This window comes from Homo sapiens, chromosome 12, assembly GCF_000001405.40.
Source record: "Homo sapiens chromosome 12, GRCh38.p14 Primary Assembly".
NCBI classification, from domain to species: domain Eukaryota; kingdom Metazoa; phylum Chordata; class Mammalia; order Primates; family Hominidae; genus Homo; species Homo sapiens.
Genome location: NC_000012.12, coordinates 104,054,436 through 104,075,439, shown reverse-complemented (window position 1 = coordinate 104,075,439; position 21,004 = coordinate 104,054,436). Strand labels below are relative to the sequence as shown.

General features: G+C 42.5%; 2 protein-coding genes across 22 annotated transcripts in view, besides 6 other annotated features; one reads left to right on the top strand and one right to left on the bottom strand.

Annotated features, from left to right (window-relative positions):
* Positions 1 to 10,909, bottom strand: part of HCFC2 (host cell factor C2) — a 41,994-nt gene extending 31,085 nt beyond the window's left edge. For all 4 annotated transcript variants that reach the window (NM_013320.3, XM_047428753.1, XM_017019242.3 and 1 more), the window contains exons 1-3: positions 10,717 to 10,909; positions 9,125 to 9,273; positions 7,333 to 7,493 (exon numbers count right to left, since the gene is read on the bottom strand). In NM_013320.3, coding sequence (NP_037452.1) covers positions 7,333 to 7,493; positions 9,125 to 9,273; positions 10,717 to 10,879 — 473 coding nt within the window. In that variant the 5' untranslated portion in view covers positions 10,880 to 10,909. The remainder of the gene's footprint in view (positions 1 to 7,332; positions 7,494 to 9,124; positions 9,274 to 10,716) is intronic.
* Positions 10,533 to 10,672: a silencer, noted in NCBI's record as "silent region_4786". NCBI's record gives its function as "represses an Ori minimal core promoter by ATAC-STARR-seq in GM12878 lymphoblastoid cells {active_cell/tissue: GM12878}" and the evidence as "EXISTENCE:reporter gene assay evidence [ECO:0000049][PMID:35858748]".
* Positions 10,893 to 11,062: a silencer, noted in NCBI's record as "silent region_4785". NCBI's record gives its function as "represses an Ori minimal core promoter by ATAC-STARR-seq in GM12878 lymphoblastoid cells {active_cell/tissue: GM12878}" and the evidence as "EXISTENCE:reporter gene assay evidence [ECO:0000049][PMID:35858748]".
* Positions 11,003 to 21,004, top strand: part of GLT8D2 (glycosyltransferase 8 domain containing 2) — a 75,451-nt gene continuing 65,449 nt past the window's right edge. For 11 of the 18 annotated variants that reach the window (NR_169301.1, NM_001316967.2, NM_031302.5 and 8 more), the window contains exon 1: positions 11,003 to 11,491. The gene's annotated coding sequence lies outside the window, so the exon portion shown is untranslated. Of the gene's footprint in view, positions 11,700 to 21,004 lie in introns of all 18 variants that reach the window. The other 7 variants (NR_169300.1, NM_001384718.1, NM_001384720.1 and 4 more) reach the window with 4 other exon arrangements.
* Positions 11,044 to 11,213: a silencer, noted in NCBI's record as "fragment chr12:104458005-104458174 (GRCh37/hg19 assembly coordinates)". NCBI's record gives its function as "represses an EF-1alpha promoter that drives an FKBP-Casp9 reporter gene in an ReSE screen in HepG2 liver carcinoma cells {active_cell/tissue: HepG2}" and the evidence as "EXISTENCE:reporter gene assay evidence [ECO:0000049][PMID:32094911]".
* Positions 11,223 to 11,382: a silencer, noted in NCBI's record as "silent region_4784". NCBI's record gives its function as "represses an Ori minimal core promoter by ATAC-STARR-seq in GM12878 lymphoblastoid cells {active_cell/tissue: GM12878}" and the evidence as "EXISTENCE:reporter gene assay evidence [ECO:0000049][PMID:35858748]".
* Positions 12,706 to 12,875: an enhancer, noted in NCBI's record as "experimental_23714 CRE fragment used in MPRA reporter constructs". NCBI's record gives its function as "activates a minimal promoter by MPRAs in K562 erythroleukemia cells, with activity observed for the non-introgressed 12:104456428 or rs4340124 variant allele {active_cell/tissue: K562}" and the evidence as "EXISTENCE:reporter gene assay evidence [ECO:0000049][PMID:34662402]".
* Position 12,790: a transcriptional cis regulatory region, noted in NCBI's record as "Neanderthal adaptively introgressed variant 12:104456428 (GRCh37/hg19 assembly coordinates) or rs4340124 in the experimental_23714 CRE". NCBI's record gives its function as "modulates activity of the experimental_23714 enhancer by MPRAs in K562 erythroleukemia cells {active_cell/tissue: K562}" and the evidence as "EXISTENCE:reporter gene assay evidence [ECO:0000049][PMID:34662402]".

Genomic DNA, 21,004 nt, shown 5'->3' with positions numbered 1-21,004 from the left:
AAAGAAATGGAATAGAGTTAAAGAGTCAAAGAAAATAAACTAAAAAGAAAAACAGACAGTCAATAAAACTAAAAAATGGCTCTTTGAAATAAATAAAATAACAAATCACTAGCAAGTCTGATTAGACAAAACTAATATTTAGGAATAAGAAATGAGATATAAAAATGGATATAGAGATTTTAAAGATAGAGAGAATTGTCTTTATAACTTTAAAACATTTTTAAATAAATAATTTTTTTTTTTTATTTTCACAGACAGGGGCTCATTATATTGCCCAGGCTAGATTTAAACTCCTGGGTTCAGATGATCCTCCTGCCTCAGACTCCCAAGCAGCTGGGACTATAGGTGCGTACCACCACACCTGGCTGTCTTATAACTTTTAGAAATAAATTTAAAAATCTAGATAAATGGGTAACTTCTCAAAAAAAATTACTAAAAATTATGAAAGGTTGAAAACCTAAATAGATCAATACTTATAGAAGAAATTGAAAAGGCAATAAAAGATCATATACCAATCCCAGGTAAATATGGAAAATTTCTTCTAAATATTCAAGGAATTAAGTTATTTAAATATAATAAAAGATGGAGGGCTTTCCATGACCTCAGAACATAACCCTGATTACATTTTCAAGGATAACATAATCCTGATACTCAAATCAGATTACAATAGCACCCTACTCCCCCATATAAAGACAATACAGGCAAAATCGCTAATAAATATAGGTATTATAAATAAATGTTAGAAATGTGATTCAGCAAAGAAAAGAATTCTGTAACACAGTAAAGTGAGATTTAACTAGGAATAAAAAGGTGGCTCATATTTCAGAACCTCAATTAATTAATTAAAATAATTCACAAAATTCATGGATTAAAGGAGAGACACAGTAAGCTCCAAAATGAATTTAAACTACCTCAATATACATTTCTTTTTCAAAAGAGAGAAAAATAAAACTAGTAAGCTGGAAATTTAAGAACATTTTGGCCAGGCATGGCGGCTCACGCCTGTAATCCCAACACTTTGGGAGGCCAAGGTGGGAGGATCACTTGAGCCCAAGAGTTCAAGACCAGCCTGGGCAACACGGAAAGACCTTGTCTCTATGAAAAAGAAAAAGAAAAAAAAAGTTTTAAAATTAGCTGGGCATGGTGGCATACACCTGTGGTCCCAGCTGGCTACTCAAGAGGCTGAGGCAGGGGGACTGTCTGAGCCTAGGAGGTCGAGGGTGCAGAGAGCTGTGATCATGCCACTGTACTCCAGCCCCAGGTGACAGAGTGAGGCTCTGTCTCAAAAAGAAAAGAAAACGTCCTTAATGTTATTAAAATCACATACCAACAACCTATAGCAAATGCCACAATTAATGATAGAAAGGTAAATATATTAATGAAACAGAATAGAGTCTAGAGCAGGAATCAACAAATGTTTCCTGTAAAGGGTCCGATAGTAAATATTTTAGGCTTCATAGGCCATAAAATCTATTGCAACTACTCAACTGTGCTGTTTCAACATGAAAGCTACCAACAGCAACACAAAATGAATGGGGATGGCTGTGTTCCAATAAAACTTTATTAATAAAAAAAGACAGCAGGCCACATTTGGCCCACAGGATATAGTTTGCAACCCCTGGTATAGAAAGCCTAGAGAGACACATTTATACAAGAATTAAGATATGACAGAGATGGAATTTCAAACCAATAGAAAACATGGCTTATTTAATAAATGGTGTTGGGAAAATTGAAAATCAACTAGGAAAAGAAGTAAAAAGCCTTACACTAGTCACAAAAGTATATCACAAATGCATTAATGTTCTAAACAGAAACAAAAGTTTGAATGAACTAGAAGAAAATATAGAAAATTTATTTTTATAATTTTCCTGAAGGAGAGTCTTTCAAAGCAAGATTCAAAACCAGAAAGCCATAGAAGAAAATATTGTCAAACATGATGAAACTAAACAGAAAACCCTTTTTAAAAAAGGCAAAGCGGGCTGGGCATGGTGGCTTATGCTTGTAATCCCAGCACTTTGGGAGGCTGAGGCGGGCGGATCATGAGGTCAGGAGTTCGAGACCAGCCTGGCCAACAAAGTGAAACCCTGCCTCTACTAAAAATACAAAAATTAGCTAGGCATGGTGGTGGGAGCCTGTAATCCCAGCTACCTGGGAGGCTGAGGCAGGAGAATCGCTTGAACCCATGAGGTGGAGGCTGCAGTGAGCCGAGATCGCTCCACTGCACTCCAGCCTCGGCGATGCAGCTAGACTCCGTCTCAAAAAAAAAAAAAAAGGCAAACAGAAGACTTAGAAAACATATTTGGAACATATAAAAATATATATATGTAAAGAACTCCTAAGAATCAACAATAATAAAAAAATTGAAATCCATTTAAATATTAGAAATAATAAATGAATTCAACAAGGTCACAGGATACAAGATAAATAACAAAACCAAGGTTGTGTTTCTATATACTAGCAATGAACAATCCAGAAATGAAATTAAGAAACCAAATCGGCCGGGTGCGGTGGCTCACACCTGTAATCCCAGCACTTTGGGAGGCTGAGGTGGGCGGATCACGAGGTCAGGAGATCGAGACCATCCTGGCTAACATGGTGAAACCCAGTCTCTACTAAAAATACAAAAAAAATTAGCTGGGCATGGTGGCGGGCGCCTGTAGTCCCAGCTACTCGGGAGGCTGAGGCAGGAGAATGGCGTGAACCCAGGAGGCGGAGCTTGCAGTGAGCTGAGATTGCGCCACTGCACTCCAGCCTGGGCGACAGAGCGAGACTCCATCTCAAAAAAAAAAAAGAAACCAAATGGATTCATAATATCCTCAAAAAGAATAAAAAACTTAGGAATACATTTACCAAAATTAGAAAGAGCAACACATACATTGAAAACTACAAAATATTGCTGAGAGAAAATTTAAAAGATTTAAATAAATGGAGAAACATCCCATGTTCATGAATTGGCAGACCCAATATTATTAAGATGGTGATTCTCCTCAAACTGATATATAATCAGTGAAATCCCTATCAAAATCCCAGTAAGCCTTTTTGTACAAATTTTACTTTTTTTTTTTTTTTTTAAACAGTCTTGTTCTGTTGCCCTGGCTGGAATGCACTGATGTAAACATGGCTCACTGTAGTCCTGGCCTCCTGTGCTCAAGCAATCCTCCTGCTCTGGCCCCCCATGTAGATGGGACCACAGGCACATACCACTACACCCGGCTAATTTTCTAATGTTTTGCAGAGACAGGGTCTTGCCATGTTGCCCAGGCTGGTCTCATACTTCTGGGTCAAGTGATCTGCTGGCCTCAGCCTCCCAAAGTACTGGGATTATGGGCGTGAGCCACTATGCCTGGCCAAATCACATTTCTGATTAAAAAATAAAATAAAACATAAAACATATCCAGAATATATAAAGAATTGTTACAACTCAATAATAAGAAAACTATCAATTTCAAAACGGGCACAATATTTGAATAGAAATTTCACCAAAGATATATGAATGGCTAAAAAGCCCATGAAAAGATGTCCAACACTATTAGTCATTAGAGAAATGCAAATTAAAACCACAATGAGATACTACTTTACTCCCGCTAGGATGGCGACAATAAAAAAGACAGACAATAATGAATATTAGCCAAGGTGGAGAAAGTAAAACCCTTATATATTGCTGGTGGGAATGTAAAATAGTGTAGTCAGTTTGGAAAACAATTTGGTAGAATTTCTTAAGAAGTTAAACAGGTTGAGGTGGGAGGATCACTTGTGCCTGGGAGGTGGAGGCTCCAGTGAGCTGACATTGTGCCATTGCACTCCAGCCTGGATAACAGAGTGAGACCCTTTCTCAAAAAAATAAAATAAAATAAAATAAAATAGTTAGGTCTGTGTGGAGGATCGTATTAATGTGTTCCCAACTCTTCTTTCCCCGTAGGCACAGTATATATCCTTAGACCACTGACTCTGGCCTTGGCCATATGGCTGGTTTGACCAATGGAATGTGACCAGAAATGAATGTGTGCTTTAAACATAGGCTTTAAAAAGCATTGTATGTAACCGCATGCACCTACTGGCCCTCTGAAGTAGAATACCCTTGAGAAGCTTGCCCCATTATAAACAATAACCTAACAAAAGCTAATACATGAAAAAGGGTACATGAAAAGTGTTACATGAAAAAGGTTCCAAAAGATGTACATCAAACTGAATTATGTGTATTTGCCTATGTTGGGGGATAGTGCTGTTGAAAGAATACTGTACACTTTCTGATTTGACTTTTTACCAGTGTTATTTTAAAAATCTGTTTAATGGAAAAAGTTTTTTAAAAGACATGTGTTGAAAGTAAAAGTATTGGCCGGGCGTGGTGGCTCAAGCCTGTAATCCCAGCACTTTGGTAGGCTGAGGCAGGCGGATGATGAGGTCAGGAGATCAAGACCATCCTGGCTAACACGGTGAAACCTCGTCTCTACTAAAAAACACAAAAAAATTAGCCAGGCATGGTGGCAGACGCCTGTAGTCCCAGCTACTCGGGAGGCTGAGGCAGGAGAATGGCGTGAACCCGGGAGGCGGAGCTTGCAGTGAGCTGAGATCGCGCCACTATACTCCAGCCTGGGCGACAGAGTGAGACTCCGTCTCAAAAAAAAAAAAAAAAAAAAAGTAAAAAGTATCCGGATTACTGTGGTGGGATAATTTTTTTTCCTTTTCTGTAGTTTCCACATTTTCCATGATATTTTAGTATTTCTATATTTTAAAAAAGTTTGGAAAAAAAGTTAAGATCCTACCATCAATCTAATGCAGGTAAAAAGACATCATAATGGTTGATAACTCTACTGTATTATATGCTATGGCAACCTGAAAGTGCTTTGAAAATTATACCAATGATCTTATTTCACTATCACAATGACACTGTAAAACAGGTATTTAATCACTCCCATTTCACAGTGAAGGAAACAGGCTTAGATTATTTGCTCTAAAGGACACACATGATAAGACCTGAATCAGAAAACAGCCCTTTGGACTCTAAATCTCCAAAGCTTGAGTGCTAGAATGACAATGTGATCAAAACACTATGTGAATATTATTCGGGCTTAAAAAGAAAAAAATATTGCAGCCATAAAAAAGAATAAATTTGGCCGGGCGCAGTGGCTCACGCCTGTAATCCCAGCACTTTGGGAGGCCAAGGTGGGCAGATCACGAGGTCAGGAGATCGAGACCATCCTGGCTAACGCGGTGAAACCCCATGTTAGTCTCTATTAAAAATACAAAAAATTAGCAGGGCGTGGTGGTGGGCGCCTGTAGTCCCAGCTACTCGGGTGGCTGAGGCAGGAGAATGGCGTGAACCCAGGAGGCGGAGCTTGCAGTGAGACGGGATTGCGCCACTGCACTTCAGCCTGGGAGACAGAGCGAGATTCTGTCTCAAAAAAAAAAGAGTTCATGTCCTTTGCAGGGACATGGATGAAGCTGGAAACCATCATTCTCAGCAAACTAACACAGAAACAGAAAACCAAACACTGCATGTTCTCACTCATAAGAGGGAGCTGAACAATGAGAAAACATGGACAGAGGGAAGGGAACATCACACACCAGGGCATATCGGGGGTTGCAGGGCAAGGGGAGGGAGAGCATTAGGACAAATACCTAATGCATGCGGGGCTTAAAACCTAGATGATGGGTTGATAGGTGCAGCAAACCACCATGGCACATGTATACCTATGTAACAAACCTGCACATTCTGCACATGCACTCCAGAACTTAAAGTAAAATAAAAATAAAAAAATAAAAAAAGAGAAAGTCTAAAAAAAAGAAAGAAAAAAATATACTACCATTTGCCACAGCATGGATGGAGCAGCAGGACATTATGGTAAGCGAAATAAGACAGACACAAAGAACAATATTGCATGATCTCATATGTGAAATCTTTTTTTTTTTTTTTAACAAAAAAGGTAAAACATATAGAAATAGAGAATAAAACAGTGGTTACCAGGGTCAGAGTGACAGGAAGGGAAGGAAATGGGGAAATGTAGGTCAAAAGATACAAAGTAGCAAATACCTAGGATAAACAAATTGAGAGATCTAATGTACAACATGAGGACTACAGTTAATAATAATGCATTGTATTCAGGATTTTTGTTTGTTTGTTTGTTTGTTTTTTTAAGATAAGGTCTAACTCTGTCACCCAGGCTGGAGTGCAGCAGCACGATCTCGGCTCACTGCAACCTCCACCTCCCAGGCTCAAGAAATCCTCTCACCTCAGCCTCTGAGTAGCTGTGACCACAGGCGCGTGCCACCATGCCCAGCTAATTTTTTGTATTTTTGGTAGAGATGGGGTTTTGCCATGTTGCCCAGGCTGATCTTGAACTGCTGGGCTCAAGCGATCCACCCACCTCGGCTTCCCAAAGTGCTGGGATTATAGGCATGAGCCACAACGCCTGGTGGTGACTACAGCTGCTCATGCCCCAGGCAGAAAAAAATGGGTAACTATATGAAATGACGGATATATTACCACTATAGTAACCATTTTAATATATATACAAAATATCTATCTTATACCATCATGTTATATACCTTAAATTTACACAAATAAAATTTATTAAAAAAAAAAACTACATGGAACAGTATAGTTCCCCAAAGGAAAGAGGAATTCTTTGCAGACAAAACCAACATTAGCTATAATAGGGGTCAACAATGTAGATAGCCCCATTATTTACAATCTGTGCCAGCAAACTACACCCTGTGGACCAAACCTGCCTATGAGCTGCTTCATAAAGGCTTATTGGAACTCAACATACAAACAAACAAACAAAACATGATGTGAAAAGAAAAGAGGTAGTGAATTAATTCTGTTTGGGAAAAAGGAGGAAATAATTGATTGTAAAAGTATATGCTAGCGTGAACTACTCTAATAGCTTCCTGTATAAAACATGGAAATGATAGCTTTCATTTTATAGTCAGAGTTTTGTCGCCAAATTCCCAGAGAAATCTAATTTTAAAATAACCATCTGTTACTTTTCATTATCATTTATGAGGCAGCTAAAATGCATTATGGCTCAATATATACAAATATATTGATACAAGCAGTTACATTAATATTAATTTAATAAGATGATTTCTCATTAGAAAGACACAGTTTTTTTGTTTTTAGCTCCAATGCTTTCTGAAGAAAAGACACAGTTTTGAAAACAAGTATGCTCCAGGTACTAAGGAAAACACAAACACACACAAATCTGTCCACTGTTAGGTTGAAATGCAAAAAGCTAAGCATCATCCCTTTTAAAAATTAAAGATGGAAAAAATAAAATGTTCCTACTCTAAATCATAAAATAAGCATTTGGTCTGAAAGAGTCAGCATACCTGGGAACATTATTGTTTGAATCTTCGCTTTCGTTTGCCAGGCCACCAAACAAATAGCATTTGTTACCATATAAAGAGAAGCTATGTCCAAGCCGAGGACAAGGAGGTAAACCAGAAGGAGGGGGATGGGGTTTCACTTTTTTCCATAACCAACGACTTGCCTAAAAAAAAAAAGGGCACAAATACAGTCAGACAAAATCAAGAAAGCACTCCTATATTGTCAATAGTGCAACATCATATCAATACATTTTAATCTAAATCCCATCAGAAGGCACTAAAAAACTACTTTTGGGACAAATGACAAATAACCAGCTAACTTCTGGAATTAAAATATATGTTCCAGTAGACATTCAAGTTACTCTTCCATATTCACAGATTTCCATGGCAAACTCAGCATATAATAATAAACACTAACTGTTCTAAAGTAGTTTCCAAATGAAAAATAAAGTATTATACATAGCTTCAAGATTAAATGTAATTTATATATTCTTACTTTCTGAAAAAAGGTAATCCATGAATGGTAAATATTTTAACCTTTTAAAGGTAAACATAAAGCTCATTTAACATATCAAATTCCAAAACTTATTCTCTGGCCATGGATGTTTTCTTTAGCTAAAATTATTTTTGCAATGAGTTGCTTGTAAATAGGTATAACCACTCACATCTGCCAATTAGCAGATACCCGCATGATCACCGCCCTAGGGATAAGGCACAGATCAGGAAGAAAAGTCAACAAGGGCTATGAGTCTGGTTTAATAAGACTCAAATTTAGAAAGGTTATGGGAAACTGTTACTCCTCTTTTGTATGTATTGTCAAGGTGGGGGGTGTAGTAAATATTAGTATGAGGGTAACAATTTCTAAAACACTAAAGCAGTGGTTTTCAAAGTATAGCCTAGGGGCCAGGCATGGTGATTTTCCAAATGTGGAAAGTTTTATTCAAAGTTGTGAATATGTCAGTTGATACCAATGCCAACTATCCCTCTGTGAGTCCTGCAGTACTTAATACTTAAGAATTTGCGGCACAGCACGGTGGCTCACGTCGGCTAATCCCAGCACTTTGGGAGGCCCAGGTGGGTGGATCACCTGAGGTCAGGAGTTCAAGACCAGCCTGGCCAACATGGTGAAAACCCGTCTCTACTAAAAATACAAAAATTAGCTGGGCATGGTGGCGCGTGCCTGTAGTCACAGCTACTCAGGAGGCTGAGGCAGGAGAATTGCTTGAACCCAGGAGACGGAGGTTGCAGTGAGCCGAGATTGCGCGGCTGCAGTCCAGCCTGGGTGACAGAGCAAGACTCTGTCTCTAAACAAACAAACCAGGAGCATCAGCAGCTGGGAACCTGGTAGAAATGCAAATGCTCATGGCCTTCCTCTGACTCAGAAACTCTCTGGGTAGGACCCAGCAATCTGTGTTTTCACAGGTTCTCCAGGCGCTCCTGTTGCAGGCTAAAGTTTCTACTGCATTAAGATACAAAAACCTAAATATATAACATGTACAACTGATGCTACGTAACAGATATCTTGATGTTATAAATGTTGCACTGGGTATGGGAAAAAGACTTGCCAGGAAACTTTGGGTTTTAAGTGAAGTGGAAACATTTTCTATAAAGCTATAAAATGTGAAGTTTACATTACTTGAATAATATTACTTGAATAATAGTTTACTTGAATAATACATTACTTGAATAATATTAAAATGTGTTAAACAATGTTAGTAATGTTGCAATCTTTTGAAAAATTATGAACAATATCATTATTAAAGCCTCAGAATGAAACAATATTAAATACACTTACTTGTAACTCATATAACTCATTGCTGTATCTTCCATATTCAACCATTCCCCCAAATACTAATATTCTGGTACCATCACAGACAAATCCATGGGCAGCACAGCCTGGAGGGATATCTCCTCTAACAGCTGGCAGAAACCACTGATTCGTAGCTAGTTGCCAAAATAAAATGAAAACCGATTATAACAAACAACGGTTATCATATACTATCAGCAAATATATATCATCAATATCAGTGGGTCTCAACTGGGGATGATTCTGCCCCCCAGAAGACATTTGGTAATGTCTGGTGACATTTTTAGTTGTCACAACTGGAGGGGGCTGTTACTGGCATCTAGTAGGTAGAGGCAGGGATGCTGCCAAACATCTTACAATGTACAGGGCAATACAGGGCAGCTTCCCCCAACCTCAACAAAGAATTACCTGGCCCAAAAGGTCGAGAGTGCTGCTGTTGAAAAACCCTGATCTGTATCATTTAATTCTTACAAAACGCCCTGCTGGGTGAGTATAAAAATCTCTATTTTACAACTGAAAATTGTGAGGCTTAAAAAGGTTTGGTAACTTTAGCGCTGATCCTGGGCAACCGGCAGAGCAAGATTCAAATCAGGTCTAATTTGTTCCAAAGCCAGGGATTTTACACTAAGACCAAAGTGTCAGTAACTTTTTACCTTCATATGCTGGGGCGCTGGGAGGAGGAGAGGGTGAAAAAAATAAAACTTCTCAGACTCCACTATTTTGTTAACCTTCAAATTATTCCTGTGATTAAGTTGTTTGATCAAAGAAAAGTTATCGGTCATGAAGTAGACCCAAAATTCCATCACTGTCTTTACACCAAACAGATTTCTTGTGACAGCCTGAGCATTTACAAGGGGAAAAAAAAATTAAATCCAGTTTCCTTTCTATTCCACAGAGGTCCTCAAAGATAGGGGCTCCCTGCCCAGGGGCACTTGTGATCTGCAGTGGTGCTCAAGTTATGACAGTCCTCTTTCCGAGGGCCAGTCCAGAAGGGCGTCCACACCGAGTATGCAGACACAAGGCCGCCTCACCACGTCCCCGCCGCTTTAGAGCGCGGCTCACGGAGGGGCTCTTGACCGTTACCTGCCAAACACCGGGTTGTATTTGAGGCGAGAGTGCCAGAAGGCCTCTCGTTTTCCCTCCTCACCCCCTAGATGGTCTTCCTCCTAAGGAAGGAAGGCAGGCAAAGACGGGAAAGGCCCTAAGGAACTTTGGTTTGGAGTGGGTTTTGTTTTTTGACAGAGGCGAGATTTCGGGGAGTGGCCCAGGCGGTTGGACATGGTCTTCTGTCGCCTGCGTCCGCCTGTCGGGCTGGGGTGGGGGCGTCCGGGATCCCCCGCCTGAAGGCCGGTGCGCCCCGCTCGGGGTCCGTTGCGCCCCAAGGGCCCCGGAGATCCTGAGCTGCGGTCCGGGACAGAGCTGCCGGACCCGGGCTGCCCGGCTGAGCCGCGCTCCCCGCCGCCCGCCCAAGGAAGCAGTGACCGGGCGGTGACAGCTGTCAGGGCCGCGGCCGCCGCCTCGCCTCCCCTCCCCCTCCGCAGCTCCAGCAGGCGGGGCCGACGAGCCGCCGCCGCGCCTACCCGTGTTGTAGACGTGCAGCTCATCCGCGATGCCCTCATTTCCCCCTCCAAAGATGATCATCAGCTCCCGGATGGCCACCGCTCGGTGTCCGTGCCGGGCGCGGGGGACCGGCCCCGTGAAGGAAGAAACTCGCCTCCAGTTGAGGAGGCTGGGAGCCGCCATCTTCCCAACCCCCGCCCCTCTGCCCACAATGCACCGCTCCCGCCTCAACCGGCTGCTCCCTGGGGAGGGCGGGGACCCGCCTCCAGCTGTGCTGGGGTCACGTGGCCGCGGGCGCCGGCGGCCAGGCTGGAGGCCCGCGGGCAGTGGAGAGACGCTGGGGAAGGGGGGTCCTGACAGGGGAGCCCCGCCCCCACCCCAGGCGACTTGGCCAGCGGCCACCCGGAGCAACGCACCTTAGGGTGGAAGGACGCTTCCCACTGACCACGTCTCCCATCCCCACCCAGAGCCTCCCGTTCGGTATTTTGGGAAGAAGCCACAGCATCTTCCTTTACGTCCACTTTAATTGAGCATCTAGGATGTGTGGGCGAGGCAGTCTCACAAGCAACGTGAGAGAAGCTCGGGTAGAGGTTCGAAGAGCTGGGAGCGCAGGGCGGGGACCTCGCACGGGAGGGTGCGGGCGGGAGCCTGCCTCGCGAGCCCGGGCCACGGCGGCTGCTCCCGACCGTGACTGGGACCCGGGCAGGGAAGGTCGCTACAAAGCCTGCCGGGCGAACCGAAGGCAGCTTTGTGCGGAGCCATGCCAGGAAGCTTGGGAACCGTGAGCCACAAGAGGTATTTTTGGTTTGTTTGGCTTAAGCAGAGGAGAGATGGTTTTCTAGGTTTCTGTTTCATTGCTAGCTAACAAGTGAGGGCTGTCCACAGCCTGGCATGCCCTAAGTGCCTCATGTGTATTAACTCATGTAATCCATCCAGCAATCCAGTGTGGTGGCTCCTGTTATCTCCCTTTCATGGACGGGGAAATGAGGCACAGTGCAGTAAGGTAATTTTCTGATGGACACAAAGGAGAGGTGTTGAAAAAAAAGACTGGGGCCAGGATTCCAACACAGGGCTTCTGATTCCAGAACCCCCAAGCCCTTATATCATATACCATACTGCCTCTGATAGCAGTCATATCCAACCATTATACCATACTGCCTCTGGTAGCAGTCATACGCAACTCTTTATTTTTATTTATTTATTTTAGATAGGGTCTGGCTCTGTTGCCGGAATGCAGTGGCGCGATCAGAGCTCACTGCAAGCTCGAGCTCCTGGGCTCCAGTGATCCTCCTGCCTTGGCCTCCCAAAGTGCTGGAACTACAGGCATGAGCCACCGCACCCAGCCAATGCAACACTTAATAAGGCCTAGCTGCCCTGTGATTTGGTCCTACACATAATCACACAAGTCCATTAGGAATAAAACTGCACTGCATATGGGATTCATGCCAAATGAGTAGATTTTAGCCACTCTTGCCACAGAGACACAAAAAGGGTTGGTGGTAACTATATGAGATGATGGATATGTTAATATGCTTCACTATAGTAACCTTGTGACTGCCTGTTTCAGCTGTCCCCAACCTTTTTGGCACTAGGGACCGGTTTCATGGAAGACAATTTTTCCACGGACTTGGCAGGGGAGTGGGTGGTATGGACTTGGCAAGGGGATGGGGGCTATGGTTTTGGCATGAAACTGTTCCACCTCAGATCATCAGGCATAAGATTCTCATAGGGAGTACACAATTTAGATCCCTCCTATGGGCAGTTCACAGTAGGGTTCGAGCTCCTATGAGAATCTAATGCGCGGTTGATCTGACAGGAGGCAGAGCTCAGGAAGGTCATGGGGGTTCCGAACAGGCCGAGGACTGGTTGCTGGGGACTGGGGACCCCTGGTCTATATGATATCAACTTCATATTGTATATCTTAAATATCCACAATACAAGTTATTTTTTAAAATTTTAATTGAAAAAGGACTGGGCATGGTGACTCACACCTGTAATCCCAGCACTTTTGGAGGCTGAGACAGAAGGATCCACTGATCCCAGGAGTTTGAGACCAGCTCGGTCAAGATGGTGAGATCCCATCTCTATTTTTATTAAAGAGAGATAAATAAGAGATACAAGTCCAGTGGAAGAAAAAATTGAAAGCAATTTAAATCCCTACCTCAGATTCTCAAGAGGTACTCAAAGGAGAACACAGACACTGTATAGTAAATTTCCTAAAACTCTTTTTTCCTCTTATTTTACCATTTTCAATTTCTCTTATATGCCTCATTCACCCAACTCCCTTAAACCTCAGCATGCTTCTCCACCTTCTCATCTATCTAAGCTTTTTTTGAGAGATAACTCTCTATGTTTTAAAAAGGAATTCTCAGGACGGGTGCGGTGGCTCACACCTGTAATCCCAGCACTTTGAGAGGCCGAGGAGGGCAGATTACCTGAGGTCAGGAGTTCGAGACCAGCCTGGCCAACATGGTGAAACCCATCTCTACCAAAAATACAAAAATTAGCCGGGCGTGGTGGTGCATGCCTGTAATCCCAGCTACTTGGGAGGCTGAGGTAGGAGAATCACTTGAACCTGGGAGGCAGAGGTTGCAGTGAGCCAAGATGGTGCCATTGCACTCCAGCCTGGGCAACAAGAACAAAACTCAGTCTAAAAAACAAACAAACAAACAAAAACCCCAAAAGGAATTCTCACTATTTTTTTTAGCTTCTGCTTCTTAAATTCTCCCTCTCACTGAGTATTAACCCATTTTTTTTTTTTTTTTTGAGATGGAGTTTTGCTCTTGTTGCCCAGGCTGGGGTGTAATGGCGCCGATATTGGCTCACTGCAACCTCCACCTCCTAGGTTCAAGCAATTCTCCTGCCTCAGCCTCCTGAGTAGCTGGGATTACAGGCATGCACCACCACGCCTGGCTAATTCTGTATTTTTAGTAGGGATGAGGTTTCTCCATGTTGGTCAGGCTAGTCTTGAACTCCCAACCTCAGGTGATCTGCCCACCTTGGTCTCCTAAGGTTCTGGGGTTACAGGCATGAACCACTGCGCCTGGCCAGCCCAATTTCATAATATGTCCAAAGAGAATTTGGAAAGGGAGGGAGAAATAAGATGTCTGCGAACAGAAAAGAGGTTATGAATATTTATCTATTAATATTTTTCTATGTCACATACATAACATAGGAGGCTCTTAAATGTTGCCATAATAAAGTTTTTATGGATTTGAAATAAAACTGGAAGAGTTGGAATAAAGCAGTGAGTTTTTCATAAAACCCAAAGTGTTTAATTTAAAGAACTGTACTTTGTTCTGAGAGTTTTGTGCCTAGATGGTAGTTTTTTTCTAATGCCCTTATAGCACAAGGTTAAAGGAAAAAATCAAACGTTCCAACCCTAATGTTGAACTTCAAATTTAAAAAAACTAGTCTATGATATTTGAAAGCCCAAGTACCCTTGAACTAGGAGAAAAATTAAGGCAAAATATTTTTAAGACAAAAGAGATTGCAAGCTATAACTGGTGGCTTAGATAGGGAGCTGCAGGGTGATGAGGAAATGTGTACTAGTTTCCTAGGGCTGCTGTGAAACAATAGGAATGTTTTGTTTCACAGTTCTGAAGGATATATAAGTCTGAAATCAAAGTGTCAGTAGGGCTGTGATCCCTGCAAAACCTGTAGGAAAGAATGCTTCCATGCCTCTTTCTAGCTTCTGGTGGCAGCTGTCAATCCATGGCAGCCCTTGACTTGTCAATGAATCACTCCAGTCTCTGACTCCATCACATCATCACGTGGTGTTCTCCCTGTGTGTCTGTCTCTTCTTTTTTTTTTTTCTTTTTGAGACAAGGTCTGGCTCTGTCATCCAGGTTGGAGTGCAATGGTGCGATCTCAGCTTGCTGCAGCCTCCACCTCCCAGGCTTAAGTGATCCTCCCACCTCAGCTTTTGGAGTAGCTGAGATTATAGGTGTGCACTACCATGCCTGGCTAGTTTTTAAATTTTTTCTAGAGATGAGGTTTTACCATGTTTCCCATGCTGGTCTTGAACTCCTGAGCTCAAGCAATCCTCCTGCATCAGCCTCCCAAAGTGCTGGGATTACAGATGTGAGCCACTGCGCCCAGCCTCTTCTCCTCTTATTATAAATTCACTAGTTATATTGGATTAGGGCTCATCCTGTGATCTCATCTTAACTTGATTATATCAGCAAGGATCCCATATCCAAATAAAGTCATATTCATAGGTACAGCGGGTTAAGGCTTCAGCATGTCTTTTGGGGGAGATACAATTCAATCTATGACAAAGTACATAATCCAATGGGAAAGATGTTTTAGTAGAGCAGTTTTGAGTAATCTGTCCTTGAGGGAGGCATCTAAAATAGGTCCCCATTTCACAGTAAAGTACCTTCAATCTCTGAAACTTCAAGAATGTAGTTTGGAAACAACAACCTAGGAGGAGAGTTTGGAGAAGAGGGATGGAAAATAGCACCCTGAAGAAGCCAGCATTGATGGGGTAAAGACAAGAGGAGGCACTCATGAAGGAAATAGAGAATAGGTAGCCAGAGAAGTTAAAAGGGAACTGGGTGAGGGTGATGTCAAAGAAGCCACAGGCAAAGAGGGTTTCATAGAGGCAGAAGTGGTAAGGAAAGCCAAAAGCCACAGAGAGGTCAGGGAAGAAGAGGACGAAGAAGCAACTGTTGGATTTGCAAATTAGGAGGTTAGTAGTGGCCTAGAATTAAAATGTTTTCAATGGAGTGGGAGGGAAAGAAGCCAGAGAGAACTGAAGCATGAGTTAGAAAATGCGGATAACATGTGTAGTCTATTCTTTACAGAGACTTGGCCATGTAAGGAAAGAAAGAACAATGGCTGGCAAGGAGAGAGAGGTACTGTGTAAATTGTTATTATTTTGGATGGTGAGACTTGTGGGCCCAGAAGAAGGATCCAGTTGCAAACAAAAGGTCGGAAGAGCACAACCAGCAATCATTTCCAACCTTCTCCTTGCCTGCCTCTCATTATTGAGGCTGGGAAGGAAAAAAACAAACAAACAAAATACAAACAAATAAGAACTTTCCCAGACTACTGTACCCACTCTCCTTCAAGATCTGCTCTCCTTTTCTTTTCAGTAACAGAATCTGGACTCTGAGCTGGGCACATGACCATTCTAAATAAAAACTAATTTCCCAAGCTTCCCTCAACTTGTTGTGGCCTGTGGCTAAATATTGACCTATGGGTTGTAAGCAAAAGTAATATATATAATTCCAGAATGTGTTCTAGAGGAGGGAAGCTTCCTTTCTCTTACTCTTTCCTGCTGTCTGGAATGTAGATGTAATGGCTAGAACTGGAGCAGCCATCTTGGACCATGAGCTGGAAGAAGCCTAATTTCCTGAGTACTTAGTGAAGTAGAGCAGCTCCACTGGAAATTACATCCCATAGGGCAAGTAGATCTGTTCAGAAAGAGCTGGGATTTGGTGGATCAAAGTCCTGGAGGATCAAGAAAAGATGGATCCTGAAGTCCATGTATACCTACATGTATACCAGGGTTGAATAGATACATTAATTCTCTATTATAGATTATATAAATATTATGTATTCTATACATGTACAGGAATCCCTCTTTAGCCATGGTTTCACTTACCCACAGTCAATGCAGTCTGAGAATATTAAATGGAAAATTCCAGAAATAAGCAATTTGTAAGTTTTAAATTGTGTAACATCCTGAGTCACATGATGAAGTCTTGCGCTGTCCCGCTCTTACCTGCCTGGGATGTGAATCATCCTTTGTCCAGTGTTTCCACACTGTATGTGCCACCTGCCCATTCGTAATTGAGTAGCTGTCTTAGTTAGAGGTATATAGGATTTGGTGCTATCCGTGGTTTTAGGCATCTCTGGGGGTCTTTGAATGTATCCCCCTTGGGTAAGGGAGCATCTGTTGTGTTATAGAAAGCTCTATTGGACAGTGCTGCTCTAGACTTTTTAGGCATATGTTAGAGAAGGTACTTTCATCTCTCACTACTTCCTCTCCTCTCTGCCCACTCCTCCGTATCAAACACCCACCAGAGTCATTTACCTGGACTGTTTCATTTGGGGTTAAGATCAAGGGCTTTAAGACCCAATAGGTTGTAGCTACTTAACTAGTTGTATGGCCTTGGTCAAATTATTTATCCTCTTTGAACCTCAGATTCTTTGTCTATAAAATGGGAATAATAAGAGCATCTGCTTCTTAGGGTTAGTCAAAGGATTAAATGAGATAATATGGTTCCAAAGTGGCAGCAAGGAAGCAATCTGGCTTCACACCCCCCAATGGAAAACCCAAAACTAATATTCAACACTGAAATTATCACCAGCAATATCCGAGAACTCAAATATGAGGATGAGACATTTGCTGGGGCCACAGAGAAGTTTAAAAAACTCTGAGCAGATGGTAAGAGAATCAGACTTCCATATCTGTAATCCCCTCCCCACAATCTGCCAGGCACCAACTGCATGAAAATTTCCCCCAACTCACAGTCTGTACACTGTAAAAAGTGAGATCAAGGCATAGACAACCAGCTTCTCCACAATCTTGGGTTCCCTTGCAGGAGACTTGTCCCAGCCTCAACCACTAGAAGCATCAGCAGTCCCTAGAGGAGAAATATCCCTGAGAACAGCCAGAGACAAAGGGGAGAGGTGAGACTACCATCCCAGCTCTGGAAACTCTGCTGTGTAACTTGACAAAAAGAGATGGAGACACCAAATCATAGTGGCTGTTCAGCAGCACCACACTGTAGGAGGTTGGGTCCATAGGTCCCTTGGACACTGAACCCCTAGCTAGCCTTCCCAAACTACTGGGATATCCCCCATTAAGGATGAGGGGCACTGATTATTTATTAGAATGGAGGCAAACGTGGGTTTCAGCACCATCTAGTGCTGAAAATGGGGCAGTGACCTAGCAAGGGGGGAAAAAAAGAAAGAAAGAAATAGGTAAATGAAATAATACATGTAAAGTACAGGCAGTCTTCACTTTGCATGATAACACTGTTCTGTAAACATGATATGCAAGCCAACACCCTTCAAAGTGATCTCAATTATCAGTGGGAAAAATTACAATTGTTTTGTGATGTTTAAAAACTTTTGTCAAAATATTAAAAACTTTCTTACTGTTGGATATAAATATATAGAGAAATGAAAAAATTGTAAACCTAATATTTCTTTATTATGCCATAATTTAAAACAGAAATATTGAGAATTAATGTGTTTTGCTTTTTTTTTTTTGAGACAGGGTCTTTGTCACCTGAGCTGAAGTACAGTGGCATGATCACAGCTCACCACAACCTTGACCTCCCAGGCTAAAGCGATCCTCCCACCTCAGCCTTCTGAGTAGTTGGGACCATAGGTACATAACACCACACCTGGCTAACTTTTTTATTTTTTGTAGAGACGGGGTCTCCCTATGTTGCTCAGGCTGGTCTTGAACTCCTGAGCTCAAGCCTCAGCCTTCCAAAGTGCTGGGATTACAGGTGTGAGCCACCATGCCCAGCCTCCTTTCTAAGTTTTCCTTTGTGCTTTCAATGTTGTGAGATATCTTTCAGCATTCCTTTAATGTGAATTTTTTGCCCATGTCACTTTCTGGAACATCTTTATCCTTTTCCTTACAACTTCCTTCCTTATTTGTGTTCATAAGTTTACCTTTACTAAGTCTCTCTGGATGCCCATCTGGAGTTGAACAGTGGCAATGTCAACATTCCCATGGCCACCAATTTCTTCTGTAACTCCAGTGATCTTTGATTTGAACTTCACTGCCACAATAATCACTTTTTGTTTCTTTGCTTCACTTTTATCTTTATTGGCAAATTCTATCGTCCATTTTTTACAATGTTACTTGGAGATAAAGAGGCAACACAACTACATGCTTTGCTGTCTGTGCATAACTAAATAACAGATGTCCAGTGACCAGTCACCAGCAGACTAGAAATGAAGTGATGTGCTGTGGTCACTGACCATGGCGTGCATCTGTTATTTACATAGTAATTTTGTGGACTGAAAACCTGGCAGCAAAGCTTGTATTTATGCAATTACTTACAGTGAATATACTGTGGTAACTGAAATTTGAACTGTATTATTGGGGGACTTGTGTTATATAACTAAACGGTGCTAATTGAAATCTGTGCTGTTACCATGCCAAGCAAGGACTGTGCTATACTTACGCAATGTCTGACATGTAGTTAGCATTTAATAAGTAGTAGATTGTTTTATTTCTATCATTATCATGATTTTATTATATTTCTACACTTTCTATTCCTCCTCCTGAGCTGCAGGCCAAAAAGTCAACCCTAGAGTGAGAATCTGGTGCTGGAGGTGGCAGACAGTCCTGTGTTTTCAGCCAAGAGTGTAAATTGCAATGTCTTTAATCTCAATTGAGGACTCAGGCCAAGGGCCAAAGGCTTATTGCCAGAGGTCTGAGAAGAGGTTCTGGGGAGTGCTAGCAAGTGGGCAGAACTCGATAGCAGAGATCCTGGGCAGGGACTGTTGCCAAGGTGAGGGAAACAGATGGTGTCTGAGAGGTCTGTTTACAGATTGCAGGGCTCCAGCCATGGATCTTGGCTGAAGCTATGTCCAAAGCATAGAGAGGGCAGCTGGCAAGAGCAAGGCAGGGCTCCAGGCTAGATAGAACCTAACTTAATTGCCAGAACAGGGAACTGGGCCAAGGAAGAAAAACAGTTACCGCATGCGGGAGAGAGGGAACTCAAGTGTGAGACTCAGGTGCTGGAGCAATTGCTGCAGTTCAGGGAGTAGCAGGGGAAAGCAAGAGCACCGAAGCTCAGGGCAACAGGAAGATGACCTGCAACTGAACCACACCAGGCAAAAGAGAGGGAATTGAGGCTGCTATGGTAATTCCTGCCCCATATGTGTGATCTTGGAGCCCAGCCATGGGAGACAAACGTGGCAAAGAGGCTTGTCAGCCTGACCCAATGTGGTAATTCATGTACTACTACAGAAGACTTATTCCTTTCCTCCCAGGCAAACTTATCAGCTTTAATAGATTTTATCTAGGACCTTATCTAAAAGTTATATACTCAGTAAAGGCAGACCCAGTTAGCAAGAAGAAATGATGAACATCTGACCTTCAACTAGTAAGAAATAAACATGGAATAATAGAGACTAAGATACATGTTTTGTTGACAAGTGATACCACAAATATAAAATGCATGTGAAATGCATACATATTGCATGGGGTTGCACTCAGGCATGTAACTAAATCTAACCAAACTTAGTTGACCACTTAAGGGTTTATTTTCCTCACATAGCAAGATTTTCCATGAGTAGTTAGTTCAGGGCTGCTGTGGTGATTCTCTGCCATCTTTAGCATATGCCAGGCTGCAGAATGACAGAGTGCCAGGGACCCCATTCATATAATGCAAGGATATTTTCCATTTACTTCTACAGATCTACTCTCCACCCTTCAACCTGTTCAGTGTCCTGAGAGGCTGACCTGAATGGATTATAGCACTTGAGCTTCTTGCCCTCTGACTTCTAGTTGGATTTGGTCAATGGGAGACACTACCAACAGGAGACTGTGAGGCTGGGGTAATCAGCCCCTCGTCCCTTTTGTGCAGAGCACCACAGGTTGGCTGTATCCCAGTGGGAGGGCCGCTCTTGCTGGCCACCCTCTCCATATCCTCTCTCCAGGTCCTGGAAACCACTCTCTCTTGTTGCCCTTCAGAGTTTGGGGTGGTAATAACTCCCTGCTATTGCTAGCCCCAGGGTACTGCATCATCTCTTAACCATGTTTCCCTGACAGTGATTACACCTTTTCAATTAGTGCCTTTTTAAAAAGTCTCCACCATTACCCTATTGGAGGGAGCTGTCTGTATCCTGCCAGGACCCTGACTGATTCAACTCTATAGTCACTGTGCACAACCAGTGTGGCCATATGCAGCAGCACAGTGCAGGCCTCTTATCCCCATGGCTGCAAGGTGGCTACTTCACACGCAAGCTTCAAGGTTGGATTTTAAACAGGAAGAAAGGGCAAAAGACACCAAAGAGCTCTTTGCCAGGAAAACACTAGCTTTCAAGGAAGTACTAGACAGCAGATGTCTGCTCACGTGCCACTCTAGCTGCAGGACATCCAAGGAGGAGAATCTTTTCAAATAGGCATTTTGCTGTCCATATGAAATCGTGTTTCTATTAGAAGGGAGGAAGCAGAGCAATGAACATGGGGAGGCAGGTATCCAAAGGAAATAAAATCAGTATTTCAATGGGGAGGCAGATATCTCTTTGAAATACTGATTTTATTTCCTTTGGATATCTGCCTCCCCATGTTCATTGCAGCATTATTTATCATAGTCAAGATAT